At 33.3% G+C, this 22,926-nt stretch overlaps 1 protein-coding gene across 91 annotated transcripts in view; it reads right to left on the reverse strand.

Annotated features, from left to right (window-relative positions):
- SSBP2 (single stranded DNA binding protein 2) overlaps nt 1-22,926 on the reverse strand; it is a 339,004-nt gene that overhangs the window by 101,687 nt on the left and 214,391 nt on the right. The gene's annotated exons all lie outside the window — the stretch shown is intronic.

The raw sequence follows: 22,926 nt of genomic DNA on the forward strand, positions 1-22,926 counted from the left end.
GTTATACATACAACTGTTCTACAATCATAGATTTCATCCCTCAACCTGATTAGACATATTACAAATACTAAAAACAGTCGAGAAGGGATCAGAAATATGCTGAAGATAGATCAGTTTGAATTGAACAGTTCTGCTATGATGAGAAATCAAAGCAACTCTTGTATCTAGTGTATCTGTTGCGCTATCTTCACCTATATTTCAGTGTATTCATTCATGCATTAATATTCCATTATAAGATGTAAAATCTCAGTATGTTTGTAGCACACATTTCCCAGTATATAAATTGTTTAAAAAAACTAAATATGTTTATTTTATAGTACTGACAGTTGTTAATAATTAAGGCCAATGATTTTAGTATTTCCTGAGGAAGTCTAGATTTAAACGTGATTATCTGAAATGTTGCTTACCTATGAATGTCAAAATTTTAAATTTCTGATAAGGCATATGAATATAAAAGAAGAAATAGTATTTCTTAGATTTTAAGATGAAACATGGATCTATTATTCTAAGAAAAACCATGCAATTTCAATTAGCGCACATTAATGGAATACCTACCATTTGTCAGTTATTGCTCTATTGAGCTTTATATAGCAACATTCATGTTTTAAAAAAAGAGAAGCAAATTGCTTTTTTTCATTTTAACTAAACTTGCGTAAAATTTTAATACAACAATGTTACAGTAAGAAGAAAAAATATCATCAAACACAACCTCTTTTAGTTTAAATAAATACGATTACATCCAGATCTAGGAAGAAAGATTTGATCTATATCTTTATGGCTGAAATTACTGTCATGTAGAAGTTGCTCTTAGTATGAAAAGCTAGACATAGCCTATCACTATTGTTCTAATTAACTGCAGAATAGAAAATTGTATAACAACAAAAAGACATATTAAAAAAGACAAATTTGGAAATCACACTCACCTGTACTTTCAAATGTATACTGTAACACTGAGCATATGTACAAAGTGACAAAACAGAATTTACTGAATTACTAAAACTTTTTAGTGTAGTTCAGAGATGTAATTTCTCCCTCAATTCCAGTTGCCTAAGAAGTATATAAAATATGTTTTTTTCTCTATTCAAAGGAATAGGCATTTGTATTCATTTGTAGCTGAACTAAAATTCAACAGGTAAGGATGCTGGTAAAGAAACATGTAAAATTCACAGTTAAATATTTGACTAATTGCTTATTTTTTTTTTCTTTTTTAGCAGGCTACATTGTTTAAAGGTATATCATATGCTAGGTTGGTAGGGTTTTCTTCAAAGTTCTTAATTATATATGTTTCCTGGGTTTTTTTTCTTGCTATTACGTAAAAGCAAAACAAAATAAATCATTTGATGAAGATTTAAGCAAGTTAAACCTTTAAAATGGCTTCTGAATTTTCATCTTATGCTTTAAATTTATTTAATAAATTCAATAAGAATACTGAATTTATTCTCTCTTCTTACATATAGTAAAGGATTTTTAAGTTTTGTAATATAGTAGTTAATGTAATAGGAAAAAAAATCTTTGCCCTCATAAAGCCAGCATTCTACTGAGGGAAGAAAGACAATGAGTAAAACAAACAAAATATATTTATCCATGATCTAAGAAGAAAAAAGGATGGGGAATAGAGAATTCCCAGTAAAATAGGCAAGGATTGTAATTTTAAATAGGATAGTCAAGCAATCAACAAATCAAACAAATGAATGAATCCAGTTACAGTGACTACTAACTGATTTCCCTTCCTACATTTCAAGATGTACCACATTTTTACAGTTTGTACCTATTCCTTCAAAGTGGCACAATAATTTTGTGGAAGTTCCTCTTTCTTAATATTCATACTTTAGGCACAACAAGAGAAGTGTCTTGAAAATAAAGATTTTTATAGCTAGATGATTCATTGTATCCAGCATGAGTTATCTGATGTGATAGTAACTTCTAGCCTTGACCTAAAGACACAAAGTGAAGTGTGCTGAATGCTGGTAATTATCCAGTACACCCAGTATAAAGCACTAGTCCACAGCATTTCAGCCCAAACTTCACTTTGTGGACCACACTTTTTAGCTAAATTATCCATTCACTCTGCTGCAATTTATTGGCAAAAGATTATTCCCTCTCTACTGTATTACACGGACTCAGCTTAGGGTACCATTTGGTACCCTATGCTGATCATTAACATATACTGATAATAAACGCTATAGAGGTACACTAAATGGTGCTCTCAGCATTGTAAAAGAGTATATTTCTCAAACTGCCTAACCTGCTAATTTATATACAGTAGCAAATAAATAATGCAAGCTTTGAAACTGTAAGGTAAATAAGAAGTTTTTGGAATTAGAAATTTATTTAGATGGGAGAAGTACCACATTTCTTCGGATATGTTGCTGAAATTTCTGAGACTTCTCTCAAGCTAACTTCCAAAACTCATGAGTCAAATTTATCCATGATCCACAGAAAGTTGTTGTTGGGCCTGAACCATAAAGCATGTATTATTACTCTATGATGTTGTGACAAAAATCACAAAAGGAGAGCAAATAGTTTAATTACAGTTAAGAACTACTAGAAAGCATTAGTTTCACTGAATTTATGTGAATTCCCATTGGAGTAGCATAGAAAATCCTTTATTATATAATATATCCACGACTATTTAGGGTTGAGTTTTCATTATAGCTCTCTCTTAAAAGAGAAAAACATACAAATAATATGGGTTTACAGTATTTCCTCCAACTAAACTGAATATATAAGACTTCAGTGCAGATATAACAATATTATCATTAAAAGTTGTTTTGTTTCTTCTAACAGATCAATTTGCATGCTTTTATCATGCACTGCCAGATAATGTATTTTCTAACTGCTCTTGAAGCATTTACTTAGCCATCTGTCCTAAATTTCAAGTTTTTTTTTTTTTTTTTGGAGAGTGACAACTTTTTTATTTCTTTTTCATTTTCCCAAAATACAAATATAATTTTACTGACTTTTTATAAATCCAATATTTTAAATTTGGTGTTCTCAAATCAATTAAAGTATGGAACAATTATTTGTTTTCTCAAGGAAATATTAAAATGAACTTATAGAGTTACCATGATATCTTTCTTCATGTTCTATGTACTTACATTTTGTTCAGTTTGTGTGGTCATCTTCTCTGGAACTTTTTGAACTTATATCATTCTACCCTCTAAGAAAGCATGAGTCAATATGTTTATGTTATTTATTTCATCATTTCCCATTTCCCCATTTCTCTGAAATGCTATTATGTGACTGATTTTTAAAAATATTTTATTCTAATTCCATATTTTCTGAATTTCAAGAACAGAGAAATATACTCCTATTTTATATTTTTGTCCTGTTAAATAAAAACTTGAAATAAAAGTTAAAAACCTTCTTATTTTTAAATTTAGTTATTATCACTGTTGGTCTCTGGTAGGGAAAAAAAGTTGTATATACTCTGTATGAAAGTTTCAAAGCAACAGGCATTAAATACAAATTTGTTTAAAAATAAAATTAGGATGCAATTTATTACTAAACACAATTAGCATTTATCAAGATTCTACACACTGAATAACAATTTATTTACTAAGAATGCTAGAGAACTGTTTGCCTAATTATACAGTGAAGAATCAAGACAGTCTATATTTGGTAAAATAGGAAAAATAATTTCATGTGTATGAAAAGTATTTTAAGTATATGAAGATAATAATAGAGAAATTAAAATAGTGCTATGATTATTAGAAACTGGAAAGGGGATTAAAGGGAAGGGTGAGTAGGAAGAGGCTGAGCAGGGGATTATAGATTTTCCTTATTTAGCCATCTGTACTCTTTTTAAGATGCTATGGTACGAATGTGTCCCCTCCAAAATTCAGGTGTTGCCAGTGTGATAGTATTAAGAGGCGGGCCCTTTAGGAGGTGAGTAGGTCTTGAGGGTTCCTCCCTTGAGAATGGTATTACACGTCCTTATAAAAGGGCTTGCTTGATGGAAGGAGTTTTTTGTAGCTTTCCCTCTGCCATGTGAGGATGCTGCAAGAAAGCCCTCACCAGACCCAGATGCTGGTGCCTTAATCTTGGACTTTCCTGCCTCCAGAACTATAATAAATAAATTTATGTTCTTTATAAACTACCCAGTCTCGGATATTCTGTTATAGCAGCACAGAATGAACTAAGACATAAGCCATCTGTAGGTACTTTATGAGAAACACTTAAAATAATGATAGTAGGTATCTTATGTTGGCAACTTTAGTGTAAAGCACAGTAAAATATTTTGGCTATTGGTTGAGGACATATTATTTATCATACTAAAAAATCATCCTTTGCCTAGTACTATAAAAAACAATTTTCAAAGAAATCAGGAATAAGAAAATATGCTTTTTGCCTTTTCATTTTTGGAGTAGTATTATTTAGTGTTTCTTTTGGGAAGCATGATATAAGTAATCACATATTGATAGTTTTCTTAAATCTTCATTGTATTTCTGAGATAAGTCATGCTTGATCATCATGCATGATGCATTTAATAGGCTACTGAATTATATTTGGTAATATTTTATGTAGGAGTTTTACATCTCTATTCTCAATGAGATGGGTCTAGAATGTCCTTTGATGTATTATATTTTTCAAGCTTGAGCATCAGGATTATTCTACCTTTTCAAAAGGAATTGATGGCAAATTGTTTTTTATAATGCTCTGAAGAAGTTTCTATAATATGGTATTTATCTACTTATTGAAAGTTAAAAGACACAGCAGTAAAGCAGTAAAACTGCCTTAGACAAAGGCAATGTTGGAAAGAATTATTATCTTTTCATATTTTCTACTTCTCTTTTCTTCAATTTGGTTCATTTACATTTTCTCAGAACACTTCATGTCACTGAAATATTTAGTTTTATCCATATATACACTACTTTTACATAATTTATAAAGGTCCACTGTAGCAGGTGTGAGAGACACTGCTAAGTAGACCACAAAAATATGTTTTTCCTTTCTTCTACCAGCCAGGCACATGGCATCCCAGCTATATTACATTTCTCAGTCCCCTGTGTTCTCACCAAAAATCAGGTTCTTACTGATGGAATATGAGCAGAAGAGACACATGTCACTTCCAGAACATTGGTCTTAAGATCTTGTTTGTAATGCTCCCTCCTTTCTTTCTCCTCCTATTGTCTGGAACACAAATGTTTCAGAGATTTAATTTCTGCCATGCAGACCAAAAAAAAAGGATGCCTTATACAATGGCAGAGCACCTGCTAGTTTCAATCTCTGGATGACTTCGTGGAGCAGAGTCTGCCCGCCTGCCCTGGACTGTCTTTCTGAATTGTAGGCCCCCAGAGATGATGATTTATTTTCTCCCTCTTAAACTGAATTAGCATTCTCATCATCTTTGCCAGGAATTGGTCTATTAATTTACTTTTTTTCTGTTTCATTAACATGTTTACTTCTTTTTAACAAATTATTTGCATTCTCCAGCCTTTTAAAGGTTTTATTTATTTTCAAACATCTTAATTAAATTAGTAGCTATTTTCCCCCCTCTTTTTTTTTTTTTGAGATGGAGTCTCACTCTGTTGCCCAGGCTGGAGTGCAGTGGTGCTGTCTTGGCTCACTGTAACCTCTGCCTCCTAGGTTCAAGTAATTCTCCTGTCTCGGCCTCCCAATTAGCTGGGACTACAGGCACTTGCCACCACGCCCAGCTATTTTTTGTATTTTTAGTAGAGACAGGGTTTCACCATGTTGGCCAGGCTGGTCTCAAACTCCTGACCTCAAGTGATCCACCCACCTTAGCCTCCCAAAGTGCTGGGATTATAGGCGTGAGCCACCACGCCTGGTCTATTTTCCCCTTTTTAAAATGCAAAGAATATAAAACTACAAATTTGGCTCTGAATCTACCCTTGGTTGCATCTGCAAAGTTTGACATTGGTGTTCACAATTTTTTTCTTAAGCCATCTAATGATTATAATTTATTTGCCAGTTATTGAATGCAACTGGCAATGAATATTACAGTAATTCAATGATTTACGAAAAAAATGAGAATACCAATATCAAGTTTGCAGATGTAATAAAAGATATGCTTTAATTCACAAATAGTTGGAGGTTTTATTTTTTAATTTGTTTTTTCTAGTTTTCCAATTGTGGCCAGGTAAGATGTATTATACAATTTTTGTATTTAGAAATTTATTAAACAATTTTTTTTGTGGTCTAATCAATGATTGTTATAATTTCCCATGGATACTTAGTAAATATCCTTATTCTCTGTCTACATTTTAATCTATTGGTTTAATATCTTCATATTGTCTCTAATTTTTGTCCCTTGCTCTTTCAAATATATATACAATGCCCACACTGTTGTCAGTCCATTTCTCCTTGTGCCTCTACCAATGTTTGCCTTACATATTTTAATTCTATGTTCATTAGCACAATGTTTATCTTTACTGTGGATTCTATCCTTTATTAAGTCACTTTCTTTTTCATGTTTAGTAATCACTGCCTTGAATCTATTTTGTCCAAAATTAATATTGCAAGCTCAGCTTTCCTTTTGTGTTTGCATAATAAATCATCTCCCATCCATTTATTTTTAAACTTTATGGCTATATTTTATTTAACTGTTTTACTTGTTAGTAGAAAAGTTTCTAAAATGCATCTAATGAGATGTCCTTTAAAATCAGAAAAAAAACTTTCTTTATCCTATGCTTTAAAGGTATTAAAGTTAAGACAAACAATATTGTTTGCCTTTACCTATGAAAAATGAAGAAGCTAGCTTATTTTTCCTATTCTATATCTCCCTCTTCCATGTCCCAATCCTTATTATAAACATCTGGTGTTTTAGGCATACATTTTTGTTTTTATCATCTCTTCTTCAGTAATAATTTTTGACCTTAACCTTCAATTTTGTAACCATACTCTTAGCATCCAAAATAATGACTTCAACTTTATCTAATTTTTTAATAACATAACTTCACTATGCTTGAGTTTTAATTTTTATACATTTCTTAGTTTAACAGAGAGTAAATGGATATTGTTTTCCAAATCCTTATATATAGGAAAGTGTCTTTGATGACACTCATCAAACTATAGTTAACTACTGTTGTCTAGTATTTAGTGGTACAGAGAAGTCTGATACCACCTTGATTTTTGTTCCTTGGGATATCATCTGTTTTTATCTTCTAAAGATTTGAAGGACATTTTCCTGATACTTTTAATTCTCAGATGTTTCAATTCTATATCTAGGTATTGGTCTCTTTAAATTACTTGCCTGGAATAATGTGAACCTTTCCAATGTTCGTACTTAGTTTCTTTTTTGTTGTAATGTTGGAAAGTTGGGGAAAATCTTTTTAGTTAATAGGTGTAAAGCAAAGATCTGGTAAACCTCACAAGGGTCATTTTTTGCAAATGTTATTAACAACTAGATAAACAGTTGCAATGTTATTGATGACTGGGGAAATATGCTTAAGAATCTTGCCAGAAGGATTTTTACAGTTTATTGGTATCATGGGAAACTAGTACACTTGTAGAAATCACATTACATGTATATATCATGTGCTATAAAAATATTAATAAATTTGACTAAGTGACCCTTCTTTTCCGAAACTATCCAAATATAAATTCTGAACGGTGAGAAAAACAGTATACATAAAATGTGTTCTGTGATATATTTACAGTAAGAAATATTCAAAGTAACCCAAAAATTCATCAGTAATATAATGCGTAAATTGCAGTACATCTAAATTATGGAACATGATTCAACCATTAAAAACAATGCTTACAAATGGCATTATTTGAGAAATGTGGGAACCCGTTGGTGATATAATGCCATGTGAAGCATACCAAATACAGAATTGAGTGTAACATGATTTTAGTTATGCAAATGATAAAAGGTAACGTATAAAAGACTGTAGGTGAATAAATAGTATTAGCTTAGAGTAACGTACCTGAGTGATTTTTTTAAATACAATTTTTATAAACTTTCTGGAATGTCTTATTTCTAACATAAATGAAAATGATTGTTTACTCACACACACACAAACCCAGTTTTGTCAATAGCTAGAAAATATGACCACATATTAAGTTTACTTCAAATAAACCTAATCCCTAAAATTTGTTAAATAAAATGCAGATATTTCTAACTTTAAAATAATTCATTTCAATAAAATAAGATTTGAAGCATTTTAATTTTCAGACTATGAAGAACAAGTTTTTCTATTTTGGAAAGTTAGGTACTAGAAATAACCTAGAAATCATTTACATTATTCCTGGGCATTTGTTTGCACAGGGACACAAATTTATTTTTAGCACCACGTACTCTACCCTGGGCCACCTCACTTAGTCACCCACTCACAGTCTGGAGAACCAGTATCATTCACTGTGCTACTTTTTTTGGTCTGTTTTTCAATCACAAAAATATTTTACATGTTATTTTCACAAAGAATCCACAGAATAGTATTCAATCCTTTAGGCTTCCAAAAGAGCAAGAGAGAGACCCAGAAATAACATCAAAAACAAAATCAAATAAACAAAACCAAAATATTCCACAAAGAAGTAGATCCTTAGCATCTAAAAACAGATAAAGGGCCAAAGAGTTGGTGATCTAAATATTGTAGCTGGTATTTGCCATGCAAATGAAAATAAGAGTGCTGTGACTGGCTGGTGATTTCTACAAAAGGCGAACTTTTCATATGGAAGCCATGAAACATGGGAAGTCTGATAGGTAACAAGGGAGAAGCAACCACTCTTGCCAAATAAATGTTTTATGTGCAAGAGAAGTGCAAAAGGACTCTGATAAAAACAATTAAAATTTCATTAAAAGTATTAAAATACTTTAGGAGGTGGCCTTTGATTTTTCACTGTTAATTTTCAGAATAAGCAGCCATGTTTAATGGTGCAGAAACTGAGCTTCTTGCATTCTGTATTTAGCTTAACCAGAAAAGGTAGATAACAAGAAAGAGTGTAACATAAGCAATTTGTTTCGAGAAAAAAATCTCTGGGTGATACATTCACATTTGTACGTGCATCCCAAATAGTAGGTGCCTTCTATGTGCCTGAGGCTAAGACGTACTGATTCATTATTACACAAAAGTCACAATTTAGTGCAATTACCTCTCAAAATGAGTTATTAAAAAAGTTAAATAGCATAAAAACTTTCTGTTGAAAAATGAAATATCATTGAGATATTTTAGCATTCATGTTATATGTTCAGCTCTCAAGAAGCATTTATTGTCTTCGTATGAATTTCAGAGGTTGGGTAAATTTTTACTAGAGCAATAAATCAGCGTTACAGCCACATGGTCAAACTCTAGGTGTATATGTGAGCTTTTCCATTAAATATACTCCCTACCGCCAACACACAGACAAATAACATTTAGCCAAATACTTAATAAAATAACCTTAAAGAGCATTTCGAAATACCATAGTTTAAAGAGAAACACAAGGAAAAGGTGTTAGAAATATTAACATTGTCTCCGCTTTCACAAGTTGTAAACCATTATATATTCTGGTCATTCCCTACTTTCTCCTTTTTGACCTAAAAGATGGAAGCCTTTGTCTCTTTCCAATAAATGATTTAATTCATTGTAAAAATCCCAGGGCTTCTATTTGAGAGTCTAGGTACAGTTCTTACTATTCTTACTAACACCTAGTAAGATAAACTGGATAATTATAGTCATCCCTTAGGAAAAACTTTTTTCCCCTCTGTGGTAGGCAGAATGGCCCCTCAAAGATATCTATGTCCTAATCCCCAGAGCCTGTGAATGTGGGGCTTCTAAATCCTGTAAGCCTGTGAAGCTTAGGGCACCCCTCACTGATTCCTACAACTACAAGAAACTGAATTTTGCCCAGAACTTAAATAAGCTTGAAAGTGAATTCTTCTCAGAGCCTCTAGGTAAGAGTCTGGCAGGCCCACACTTTAATTTCAACCTTGTGAAACTTGGAACAAAGAAATCAGCCCAGCAATCCCAGACTTCTGACCTACAAAACTGTGAGATAATAAACTCATTGTTTTAAGCTGCTAAATTTGTGGTAATTTGCTATGGCAGCAACTGAAAACTAATATTCTCCCACTCCTGCTCCTAAATGACTATTTCATTTTGGATAATAGTTTTTCATGAGGTATCTAGAAACTAGTAAACTACGGATCCTAAAACGTTACTGTACTTGGCCTATTGCAGTATGTACTTGCTAATTCTATCATTTTGGTTAAAGCAATTCTTCTTCTGGTTAAAAATAAATTCCATGTTTTACAAAGCTAAGTGTTGTGGTTCCCCTGGTCTCATAGCTCTTTTAGTGGCTTTGAATTGTGCCTTGTGTGAATAGTTTTTTCCCTTCCACAGTTAAGAGGAGGGAAGCACAGGGAGGGGAAGAAGAATGGCACACACTGCATCTTTTCTTCGGCTATTTTGCCAGCCAGGCCTCTAACTCTGCCTTCCTCTCATTCACAAAGGAATGGCCCTTTAATTGTTGACAAGGTCCCACCAATTCCATCTAGACTGTAGTGAAGCTAGTTCCTATGGCAGGGAAAATATAAATACAACTGAAACCATAATCTAGGATTCACCATTCATATCAACTTGCTGATGGTCTCTATTTTGACCTTGTACTCTGATTCAAAGTAATTAGGATCTAGTTTTAATCCTTGTGCCAAAAGAGAGTTCATTTCTTTCTTCTATTTGCTAGATTCCCTGACTCGGTTCCCATCCAACTGGATCTGAATGTCTCAAGAGACTAGGGCTCACATTTTTTTAAAAAACTTTTAGGTTCAGGGGTACATGTCCAGGTTTGCTATATAGGTAATTTCATGTCACAGGGGTTTGTTGTACAAATTATTTCATCACTCAGGTACTAAGCCTAGTATCCAGTAGTTATTTTTTCTGATCATCTCCCTCCTCCCACCCTCCATCCTCAAGGAGGCCCCAGTGTCTGTTGTTCCCCTCTTTGTGTCCACATCTTTTAATCATTTAGCACCCACTTATAACTGAGAACATGTGGCATTTGATTTTCCGTTCCTGCATTAGTTTGCTAAGGATAATGGTCTTCAGTAGAGCTAACATTCTTGAGAGTTCTTTCCTCATATTAATTCTAAGGGACTGTATCTGCCACTGGACTTCCATTTCCACTGCTGAGTCTGCACTACCTGCAGTTGGATTCCCTTGATATCAACAGTTAGTTCAACTGCCTAGATCACCATTTTTTTATTGCCATCTACTCCTGGTGCATAGTTTTTCCTACCTGTAAAGCATTCCCACTGTTCATTTTATACCATCCTAATGGTGACTACTTGCATGTACCTCTGCCTATTACCTGTACCAGTCTATAAGCTCTCCAAGGCAGATCTACTTCCTGCCAATGGTCTGCTGTGGGACCTCTCTCATCTGCTTCCTCTATCATCCTAGAATGGCCCTGTCTTAGAATCCAAAGCACACTTGTTCTGATTGCATAAGCACAGCACTTCTATTTAAGAAGTTCTTTAAAACGTCTTTGTCACAGAACAGATTACAATCATGGAGGTAGAGCTTTGCATCAATAGCATGAATCATTGTAATTTTAGTTTGTGTGTTGATTTTTCCAGGAAGAAGGTCATCACTACATACTCATCTTCTAAAAATATCATATCCCATATACGTCAGTAAAAAGTTTACACAAAAAAGCACATCTCCTCTGAAAGAACTTAAAATTTCTGGTTAAGCATATTTAAAATTTGTTTCATTGTTTCACCTTTTTCTTTTGAAATTTACAGAAATTAAACTCATAAGAAGAAACTTAAAGTCAAAAAATTCAGTTTTTTTCCCTTAACACTATTGTTAGCACAGATCTGAAACAGTATGCATCTAATATAACATATTTCAAAAACTTCTTAAATTTTATCTAGAACAAATTGTTTATTGTTTCACCCAAAATTTTAAATTATTTCACTATCTCATAGTTTTTACTATTTTAGGGTGATATGCCTTCACATACTGCAGCACATTCTTTTGGATATTCTCAAAATAATAAACTTTCATCCTGAAAGAGTTAGTTTATTTTTTGGAAGCAGACAAAATTCATTTGGTATAGTGTTATGAAATACTGAGTAATAAGACTAGATAACATATTTTGAAGTAAAAAATTTAAATATGACAGTTGTTCACATAAAATGGCTTTGAATTTAATTTCAAAAATCATAGCATTAAAAAATGATATAATTGAGATGTTTTAGGTCTTTATATATTTTTAAATCAACCTTTTGAATTCATTATTTTCATTAATTAATGCAAGCTTTTTAATTCAACAAATATTTGCACCTACTATAGATGTGACATTGTGCTCAGCAGACCTTTGTTCTTCTTCTCAGGAGCTTATAATCTTGGAGGTGAAAAAGACAATGACATATATATTTACCAGTGTGATAAAAATTAGAAAGGGGAAAAATAAGGTGTCCTTTACAGAGTTAAAAAAGGTTTCCTCAAAGTAACAAATATTCTTCAGGCTGAGACCTGAAGAATCAGTCATAGGGAGGCCAAAAAACCAAACAAACCAACCAACAAAAAACAAAAAAACAAAGAAAGAAAAAGTAACGCAACAGAATTAAAAGTATTACAAATTAAAAGAATTAAAAAGTAAAGACCATAGGGTGGGGAGGGGAGTGACAGAATACAAGATATATTAAGAAAAGTCAACATGGCTGAATCACAGGGATTTCAAAGCGTGGCCTGAGATGATTTTATCATAGGATCAATATGAAGTTATCAAAAAGTTTTGAGAAAGTAAGCACATGATTATTAGATGTAATATTTTTAAATAGATAACTCTGGTAGCTCTTTGAGAAAATGAAATAGACAAGAGATAAAGCAAGAGAAGATGCCTTCTGGAACAGCACAAGTGAAAAGTGGAGGAACTTGGGCAGTGGTGGAGAAGAAATGCAGATGGACTCAAAATGTATTTCAAAGTAAAAACTGCCAGGATTTGATGAAGGCCAATCAAAAGGGGGTTAGGAAGCAGGATTATCATGGATGGCTTCTGGATTTCTAGCATAAGCATTGCAGTAGTGCAATGAAATACAGGTAACAGGGTATCAATCAAGTTTGAGGGAAGGAGTGAAAGACAGGCATGGGAGAAGCATAAGTTAATCTAGAATATGTAAAACATTCAGCGAGAATATTTACTAATAACTATTTTTAGAAGGTATTTCCAGAAAGGAAATTTCACACCCCCTAATTTGTTTAGTAGGTTTATTGACTTTGTGTGTTAAATTAATGTGTTCTAATGAGAACACATGGACACAGGGAGGGGAACATCACACACTGGGGCCTGTCAGAGGGTGGGGGACAAGGGGAGGAAGAGCATTAGGACAAATACCTAATGCATGCAGGGCTTAAAACCTAAATGATGGGTTGGTAAGTGCAGCAAACCACCATGGCACATGTATACTTATGTAACAAACCTACGCGTTCTACGTATGTATCCCAGAACTTAAAGTAGTAAAAAAAAAAAAAAAAAGTGTTCTAATTTAAGTCCCTCTTTTATATATTTTTTCTGTATTACAGAAAAAACAATTGACTACCATCTTAGGTGTGTAATTACAGCATCACCATTAGTAAACTATGAATAAGAATGTATGGTTTCTGTAACTCTTGCATAAATTCTATTGTGGTACCTACCGTATTATATTGAGATTTTGTTTTCAGTCCGAAAATAACACTAAAGGGACAGGCCTGCTTTCTTCCTTTGTATATGTAGTGCTTAGCAGTGCCTGACATGAAATCGGTAGAAGCTGGCTGAACTTAATATATTATGATGATATGTTTTGTTTCTGGCTAAAATAAATGATATGTCATTTATAGAATTAATAAGTATCTTAAATCTAAGGTAGCTTGTGCTATTTTATGTCAAGTAAGTGTATCAAGTTCTCAGAAAACAAAGTGACAGAAGTCAATGTAGTTGATACTTGCTTCACTATTTTCTAAACAGGCTTGGATAGTCTTAAAGGACATTAAAGTACAATAAATTACACAACCTTTATGTTAACATTCAATGTTAAGTTATGAACATGAATCAATGGTGCTATTAAATATGAAATGTCAACTGTTTTTAGTATCATTTCATCCGAATAGTAATTTGACTACTGTAACATGCCCACATAATTCATTTTCAAGATCAAGTTCTAATACATGGTTGCCAATCACATATATCCATTAAGTTAACATGGTTTTAAACATCATTTTGAAAATGGAGCCATAAAATAATCATTTATTTCATTGTGAAACCACTACTGATGAGTACTTAACTAGATAAGATTAGATGCACTGTTTAACAAAATAAAATTTAAGGCAAAAGGCATTAGTAGATACAAAGACGGTCTTTAGTCAATAATGAAAGGAACAATTTACAAGCAAGTTATAACAATCTTTAATCCATACAGCAATATAACTTCAAAATTCATCAAGCAAAACTGACAAAATTGCAAAGAGAAATGAACAAATCAATAATCACAGTGAGAGATTAGGAGACCTCCTAGAAACTGATTTATTAAATAGACTAAAAATCAGATTTTCCCGCAATTCATTTAATGGACACTTATAAAACCCTGTATTCACAAATTAAAAATACACATTTTTTTCAAGCACTCTTTTAACCTGAGACTTGGCAAGTGCCAAGTTGAGTGTAGTGGAATGTAAGATACTATTTCTAAGTTTTTGGTAGTACCGAAAAAGAAAGAAATTATTATTTAACACTGTAAGGTAATATGTAGAATCAAGTATAATACAGAGTAGTAAAAACACAGCTATGGGGTAAAATCATCGTATGATGGCCTTTCTGACTCCTTAAATTGCATTAAGTGGAAAGTAAAGAGAAATATCTCTGAAGGAAATAAACAACATTCTGGTTGGAGGTGAAGTTATCATAAGTTGTAGTACATTTCATTGCCTTGGTAAAAATATTACATATTCTTTCTATGTTTGTGAGAAACTTGCATATTTATGCCTAAGCAGAGGCATTGCCACCTATCCTCCACACACTAACACCTTGATGTAGCTCAGGTCAGTTAAGTTGGTCATGAGGGCAGGCTCAACCGTCTTCATATTACCTGGGAGACTAGTGCTCTACTAAAGGCATAGATAGGTCAGAACACAGCTTATTGTAAATGGTAGAGAATTCACAGAAAGGGGAAAACAACCACACATTGGTTTAATTTCATGGGAGACAGTCTTGGTTAAGCCACATCTTGAAGAAAAGTTAAAGTGATGTAAAGGAATAAAAAACAATTCAGATTAGAAGAACAACATAGATATGCACAAAGGAAGCAATGATTTTGGAACTACAGAAGAAAGGAAACTGTTCTCTTCTGGGTAATGTGGGGAAAGTAGAGTTGGATTCATGATATGAGCCCAATTACTGGGAATTGAATACTATGACATATTTGATTCAATGAGTGATAGAGAATTATTACATCTTTCCAAGACATTAATCAACTCAATAACATGATGATAGTGATATTTCTCTGGCAGTAAAAAGAAGAGGAATAAGGGAAAATTGAAGGCAGAGAAACCAGCATTTAAAATGATGCAGACTGCCAGGTTAGGAAGAAAAGTAGACAGAGATAGCGATACAGAGAAATGAAGGCAAATAGAACAGAAGGTAAGAGAAATGATCAAGCCGGGTTTCAGACAATGTAACATTATGGTTTTCAAAAAAACAGAGGAAGAATAAGGATCCTGTGTGACACTGGTCAGTTACTGAAACTCTACAATGGTTCCTCCTTCAGATAATGTGTATATTAATAGCACCTGCCTTATAGAGTTGCTGGGGGATTAAACGAGTTAATATAGATGAAGCAATTAGAACAATGTCTACCACAAAGTAAGGTATCAATAAATATTGGCTATTATTTTCATTACTTAGTTGAATTTGAGTTGATACACAATTAGAGGTATTTTAGAGACCAGTGAGAAACATACAACTGAAACACAGATGAAAAGACAAGGCTGGATAAATATCTTTGGTATTTTTGCCATCCTTGCCCACTGCCACTGTCAAAATCAAGTTTTTTCATCATCTTGTTGATGATTGTTACACAACCCCATTTGTTTTTTTTTTCTGTTTCTTCTCCCTCAGATCCATCTTTTAGGCTGCCAACAGTTATCTTTTCATAAGCATAAATGTATTCAAATCACTTCTTCAAGTGAAAACTTTAAAACAAATGAAGATACCTCATTTCCTATAGGAGAAAACACAAACTATTCAGAATAGTATAGTGTACATATTATAATCTTTTGAGTGTTTTTCTCTCCTTTGAGTCAATGAAGTTCTCAAGTGAAAGAGCTGTGCCTTATTACTACTGGAATCTCTTGCACCTAGGTGCACAGTAGCTGTTATAAATGCATTCACTGAAAGCTGTATAAACATACAGAATCATAATTTTATGGTGCCAAAAACTTGCAAAAAGTAGGTATTCAAAAAAGAATTTTGAGGACATAAAGCAAACAAGTTTAGAAGTCAAGAAAGAATATAATTTCAGACTGCGCATGGTGGCTCATGCCTGTAATTTGGCAATTTGGGAGGCCCAGGTGGGAGGACTGCTTGCATCCAGTTCAGTCTTGGAAACATAGTAAGACCCTATTTCTACAAAACCAAACCAAAACCAAAACCAAACCAAAACAAAACAAAAATTAGCTAGGCATGGTGGTGCATGCCTATAGTCCCAGCTACTAGGAAGGCTGAGGTGGGTGAATCACTTGAGCCCAGGAGGTCAAGACTGCAGTGAGCCATGACTGCACTCAGCCTGAGTGGCAGAGTAAGACCCTGTCTGGAAAAAAAAAAAAAGAAAAAAAAAAAGAAAGAAGATAATTTCAACTGGAAGATTAAAAATCTTGAATGATACACTGATCAAAAATTTTTACAGAGGAAAAGATACTGAATTTCAGTTAAACTAAAAAAAAATTAATTGTGGGCTTATATACCAGACACTGGCAGAATATAAATAAATAAGACAAGATTATAGTCCTAAAGGAATTAATATAGAGTGGGAACTGTATACAAACTAATAAGAAGAGAGATTCACAAGAAGCCCATCCTGGAAGTTTTAAGAATGCTTCTTTGAAATTATTATTCTACAGCTTAGTGTTTAAGGTAAGAATTAACCAGGCAAAAATGGAATGCTTATTGTGAGGCTTCAGTGTGGAAGCTAGATTACAATATATGAAGAATAAAGTAGGCTGCAAGGACACAGAGGAAATGGCTGTAGACCAATCATTTTAAAATGCTAGATAAGAAAGACAGTAAAGAAATCAAAAGGTAGTTAAAATGAACAAGACAGTAAAGTGGAGGTTTTGTCCAGATTTGGAAAGAGTGCAAGAGAAAGATAAATTAGGAGATCAGGGTCCCTAAGAAACATGAAATTCTAAGGCTAGAGCAAGAGGTATGCTAGGAAAGGAAGAGGGCACCTCTTCTGGAACAGTAAGGAGGATGAGATTATCATCACCTACTGGAGAAGAAAGCAGAAATGAGTTGAGGTGAAAGCAGTGTATCCATGCATCTCATTCCAAATGTTCTCAGTTTTCTCTGTCAAGAGATATGAAGTTATCAGCTGTTATTGAGAGGAAATGGAATAGAGAGCATTTGGAAAGAAGATATTTGAAACAGATGCATGAAAAGTTATCAACTGATCAGTGAAGAGCAGTACTGTCAAGGCATATACAGAGCCAAGTTTATGTTGGAAATGTACACCTAAAAGGAAAAAGTTTATTTGATGAAAAAAATGTTCCTTAGTATGGAGGAGGAAGTGATCATAGATAAAAAGGCCAGATGTGAAAATTAATACTTTATATAATACTATTTTATAAAGCAGTATTAATTAATTTTTGTTTTAAAACTACCATCTTCAAACTACAAAATTCAGTGACTGATTAATCAATTTATCTACACAGTCCACATCAGCCACAATTTTCTAAGTCTGAACTTTGTTTTCAAGGAAAATTATATTGCAGATATTTAAGTTCTAGAGCAATTGCTAAAAACAATAAAGACGTATACCTAACAGTAGAGAGAAAATGAAATAGTAAAAATTAATACTAAAAAGGACAAAGATTAGATAGTATAAATAAATGGAAAACAAAATGAAAGATAATTCAAAAATAAAGATTTTTAAAAATTAAATATAAGTGGTCTAAACACTGCAATAAAAAGTATAGATTTATAGTGGATTACAAAACCAAATCAACATATGCTGCTCCAAGAAACAACTTTATGTATAAGACAAATTTAATATTAATGGCATAGAAAAGAATATACCTGCAAATATTATCATAAGAAGCAGGGTACTTGTATAAATACCAGATAAATTAGACTTCAGGACAAGGAATAACAGAAAAAAATAAAGACAGCTGTAGAATAATAAGAGAGTAAATGGATCAAAATGACAAAACAATATTAAATGTTTTATATCTAACTAATAAGGTTTAAAGTGCATGAAACAAAGATTATCAGACTTGAAAAAAGAAATAGACAAGTTTGCAATTATAGGTAGAGATTTTAACATTTCTCTCTCAACAACCGATAGTAGACAGAAAATTAGTGAGAATATAAAATACTAGAACCAATCTCTACATCAGCTAGATCTAGTTGAATTTACAAAATACTACACTCATAAATAGCAGAATATACATTCTTTTAATGTGTATTCTTGAAGCATTCACCAAAATAGACCATATTCTGTGCCATAAAACAAGTCTCAATAAAATTTAAAAGACAATATATACAAAGTATGTTATCTGACCATAATATAATTAAACTAGTACTAAAAAACATAATGCACCTGAAAAATCTCCAATCATTTGGAATTAAAAAATACTCCTCTAAACAACATATAGGTAAAAGACAAAATTGCATGGGAAATTAAAAAAAATTATAATGAGTAATAATGAAAATATAATATATCAAAATTTGTGGGGTAAAGCTAAATACTGGGAGAGTGAGTATTACTCTGACAGTAAAACCAGAAAAGGAAATGTAAGAAAAGAAAACACAGTCAACATCCCTCATAAATGTAGACACAAATATCTTTAGCAAAATATGAATTTAGAATCCAACAACATATATTTAATAAGAAGGACAGCAGGGTTCTGTTACGCCATGTAAGAACTTGGAAGTCACCACCCTGACCTAATAAAAAGTAAAAAGCTGAACAAACTGAGAACCCAACAACCCTGTGTTAGATCCAGTGAACAGATGAGGTCACAAGGCAAACCACTGCCCCCAAAACTGGAGAGACAAACAGGTAGATACAGACAGGCAATTTACCTGAGCAAAACTCATGAGAAAAAACATCCCCTGGAACCAGTGCTAGGTTAGGAAAACCTAAACTGTAACTGATTAACTGCTGGAGGTTCATTGTAGACAAATCTGAGAGTCAATAATTCTAGGGTAACTCAGTCACAGGGGGATCTCTAAATGCTTGTGTTTTGTCTCTGGGGACTGGACAAGGTTCTCACAGTAAATACTGGAGAGTACTCTCCTTGCTTCTGGCAAGGGAAAAGGAAAAAGAACCATTCTGAAATACTCCAGAGCATTCTGTTCTTAACAAGGCCTGCCCTCAAGAGAAACTAACCGGAGCCTCACCTGCTATGGTTTTATCAGAGCCTAACTGCCTAAGATAACAAAAATACTCAAATCCAGCCCACTCTAGCCAACCTTTCCCACCTATGGAGTAGTGTGAGGTCAACAGAGAAGCACTTGCAAATTTCACAGTCCACAGGCACAGGCTCACTAAAACACTGAGTCCTAATCATAGGACTATGAAGAACATTTCCCCTCTCTTCACAAGTTACCACCACATTACTGAAAGCCTATTTACAGCAGTTCCTTTTACCCAGGATATCATGTCCAGCTATCAAGAAAGAATCACAAGGCACACTAAAAAGCAAAAACCACAGTTTGAAAAGACAGAACAAGCACCAGAATCAGACTCAGATAAGGGAGCGATGTTGGAATATCAGACTGGGAATTTAAAACAACTATGATTAATATGCAAAGAACTCTAATGGATAATGCAAACAAAATGCAAGAACATATGGACAATGTAAGGAGAAAGATGAAAATTCTAAGAATAAAAAAGAAATGCTAGAGATCAAAAACACTGTTACACAAATAAAGAATGCCTTTGATAATTTTATTACTAGACGAGACATGACTGAAGAAACAATCTCTGAGCTTGAGGATGTGGCAATAGAAATTTCAAAACAGGAAAGTCAAGAGAAAAAAGACTTAAGAAACACAACAGAATATCCAAGAACTGTGGAACAACTACAAAAAGTGTAAATATGTGTAATGGAGATACAACAAGAATAAAGAGAGAAAGAAACAGAAGCAATAATGACTGAGAATTTCTCCAAATTAATGTCAGACACAAGGCTCCAGAACCAGGAAGCACAGAGAACATTAAGTGGGACAAATGCTCAAAAGAAAGCAAAATCCCATCTAGGCATGTCATAACTAGATTGCAGAAAATAGAAGATAAAGAAAAAATCCTGAAAGAAGCCAGAGATAACGCACACACACACACACCCCTTACTGATGGAGAAACTAAGTTAAAAATTACATCTGAATTATCAGAAACCATGCAATCAAGAAGAGAGTGATGATAAGTAATTACAGTAAGGTGTCAGGATACAAGGTTGATATACAAAAGCCAATTGATTTTCTATAAGCCACCAAAGAACAAACAAAATTTGACATAAAAAAACACAGCACTATTTACATTATTACCCCAAAAGATGAAATACTTAGGTATAAATCTAATAAAATTATGTATAAAATTTTACATGAGGAAAGCTACAAAATGCTGATGTGAAAGAAATCAAAGAACTAAATAAATGGAGAGATATTCTATGTTCATGAATAGGAAGACTCAATATCTCAATATTGTCAAGATGTCAGTTCTTCCTGATGTGACCTATAGATTCAATACAATCCCAATAAAAATACAACGAACTTATTTCGTCGCTATTGATGAACAAATTGTAAAGTTTATATGAATAGGTAAAAGATCCAAAATAGTTCAATAAAAAAGGAGAACAAATTTGGAGGACTGACTATAAGGCAACAGTTATCAAGATAATACGGTATTGGAAGGAAAAATAGACAAATAGGTCAATGGAACAGAAGAGAGAGGCCAGAAATAGACCCATATAAATATAGTCAACTGAATTTTGACAAGAGAGCAAAGGTACTAGAATGGAGAAAAGACAGCCTTTTCAACAAGTGTTGCTAGAAAACAGGGATATCCACATGCAAAAAGAGAAAAATGAATCTAAACACAGACCTTACACCCTTTAGAAAAATTACATCAAAATGGACCACAGACATACAAGTAAAATGCAAAACTATAAAACTTCTAGATAATAACATATAATAAAATCAAGATGACCTTTAAGATACAATACCAAAGGCATGATTCCATGAAAAAAAAATTATAACATGGACTTCATTAGAATTAAAAAACTTCTGCTCTGTAAAATACATTGTCAAGAGAGTGAGAAGACAAGCCACAGACTGGGAGAAAATATTTGCAAAAGACATATCTGATAAATAACTGTTACAAAAATATACAAACAACTTTTAAAAATGCAATAATAATAAACAGCCCAATAAAAATGGACCAAAGACCCAGATATCTCAGCAAAGGAGATATACAGATGGCAAATGAGCATATGAAAAGAGGTCCTACATAATATGTTATTGGGGAAATGCAAATTAAAACGAGATTCCATTATATGCATATTAGAATGGCCAATATGTAGATCAATTACAACATAAATGCTGGTAAGGATATGGAGCAACAGGAACTCTCCTTCAAAATGCAAAAGATACAACCACTTTGGAAGAAAATCTGGTAACTTCTTTTTTTAACTTTTATTTTAAGCTCAGGGGTACACATACAGGTTTGTTAGATAGGTAAACTTGTGTCATGGGGGTTCGTTGTACAGGTTATTTCATCACCCAGGTATTAAGCCTAGTACCTCTTAGTTATTTTTCCTGATCCCCTTTCTCCTCCCAACCTCCACCCACCTGATAGGCCCCAGTAACTTCTTAAAAAACTAAATATATTCTTACCATAAGATTCAGCAGTTGCTCTTCTTGGTATTTAGCCAAAGGAGTTGAAAACCAAGTCCATACAAAAGCTTGCACATAGATGTTTACAGTAGCTTTATTCACAATTGCCAAAACTTGAAAGCAAACAAGATCTTTTTAAAAACTTCACCTATGCGCTTAACTCTATCACAGGACAGGAAAAATTACCTTATTTTCAGATATTGTGGTACTGAAACAGTATGTGTTGCTATATCTTAAAAATATTGTACTTTGGGAGGCCAAGGAGGGCGGATCATGAGGTCAGGAAATCAAGACCATCCTGGCTAACATGGTGAAACACCATCTCTACTAAAAATACAAAAAATTATCAGGGTGTGGTGGTGCTCGCCTGTAATCCCAGCTAGGAGAATTGCTTGAACCCAGGAGGCGGAGGTTGCAGTGAACTGAGATCACAACACTGCACTCCAGCTTGGGCAACAGAGCAAGACTCTGTCTCAAAAAAAAAAAAAATTGTAGCAATTGATTTCTGTTTTAGGAAAGATTAGATTCATTTTCTAAAAGGAATTTTGAAACATTTAAAAATTTCGTTAGTTGACTTTCTCCAAAAAAGTGAGGGATTGTGATTAATATCCTTAACGTGCTCTGATCTCACTGGGCTTGTCTGACTTTATTGCTTAATAAAATCCAAATTTTTGGGGGGGATTTCTGTGATGAACATCTAAAGGTTAACTTACCTAAAAATCTTCTTAACTACTGATGACCTATTTTTCTTCTTATGGGGGTGGAGGCTTTGAGTTGGACTGAAGACAATGCTGATGAGACCTGAGACAATTCTCATATGAATTTGTCTGTTCTGCAACTAGGCCACAGGTGGCATCCTTAACTCTAGAAAGACATTTCAAAATTTCA

Source organism: Homo sapiens, chromosome 5, assembly GCF_000001405.40.
Source record: "Homo sapiens chromosome 5, GRCh38.p14 Primary Assembly".
Lineage (NCBI taxonomy): Eukaryota > Metazoa > Chordata > Mammalia > Primates > Hominidae > Homo > Homo sapiens.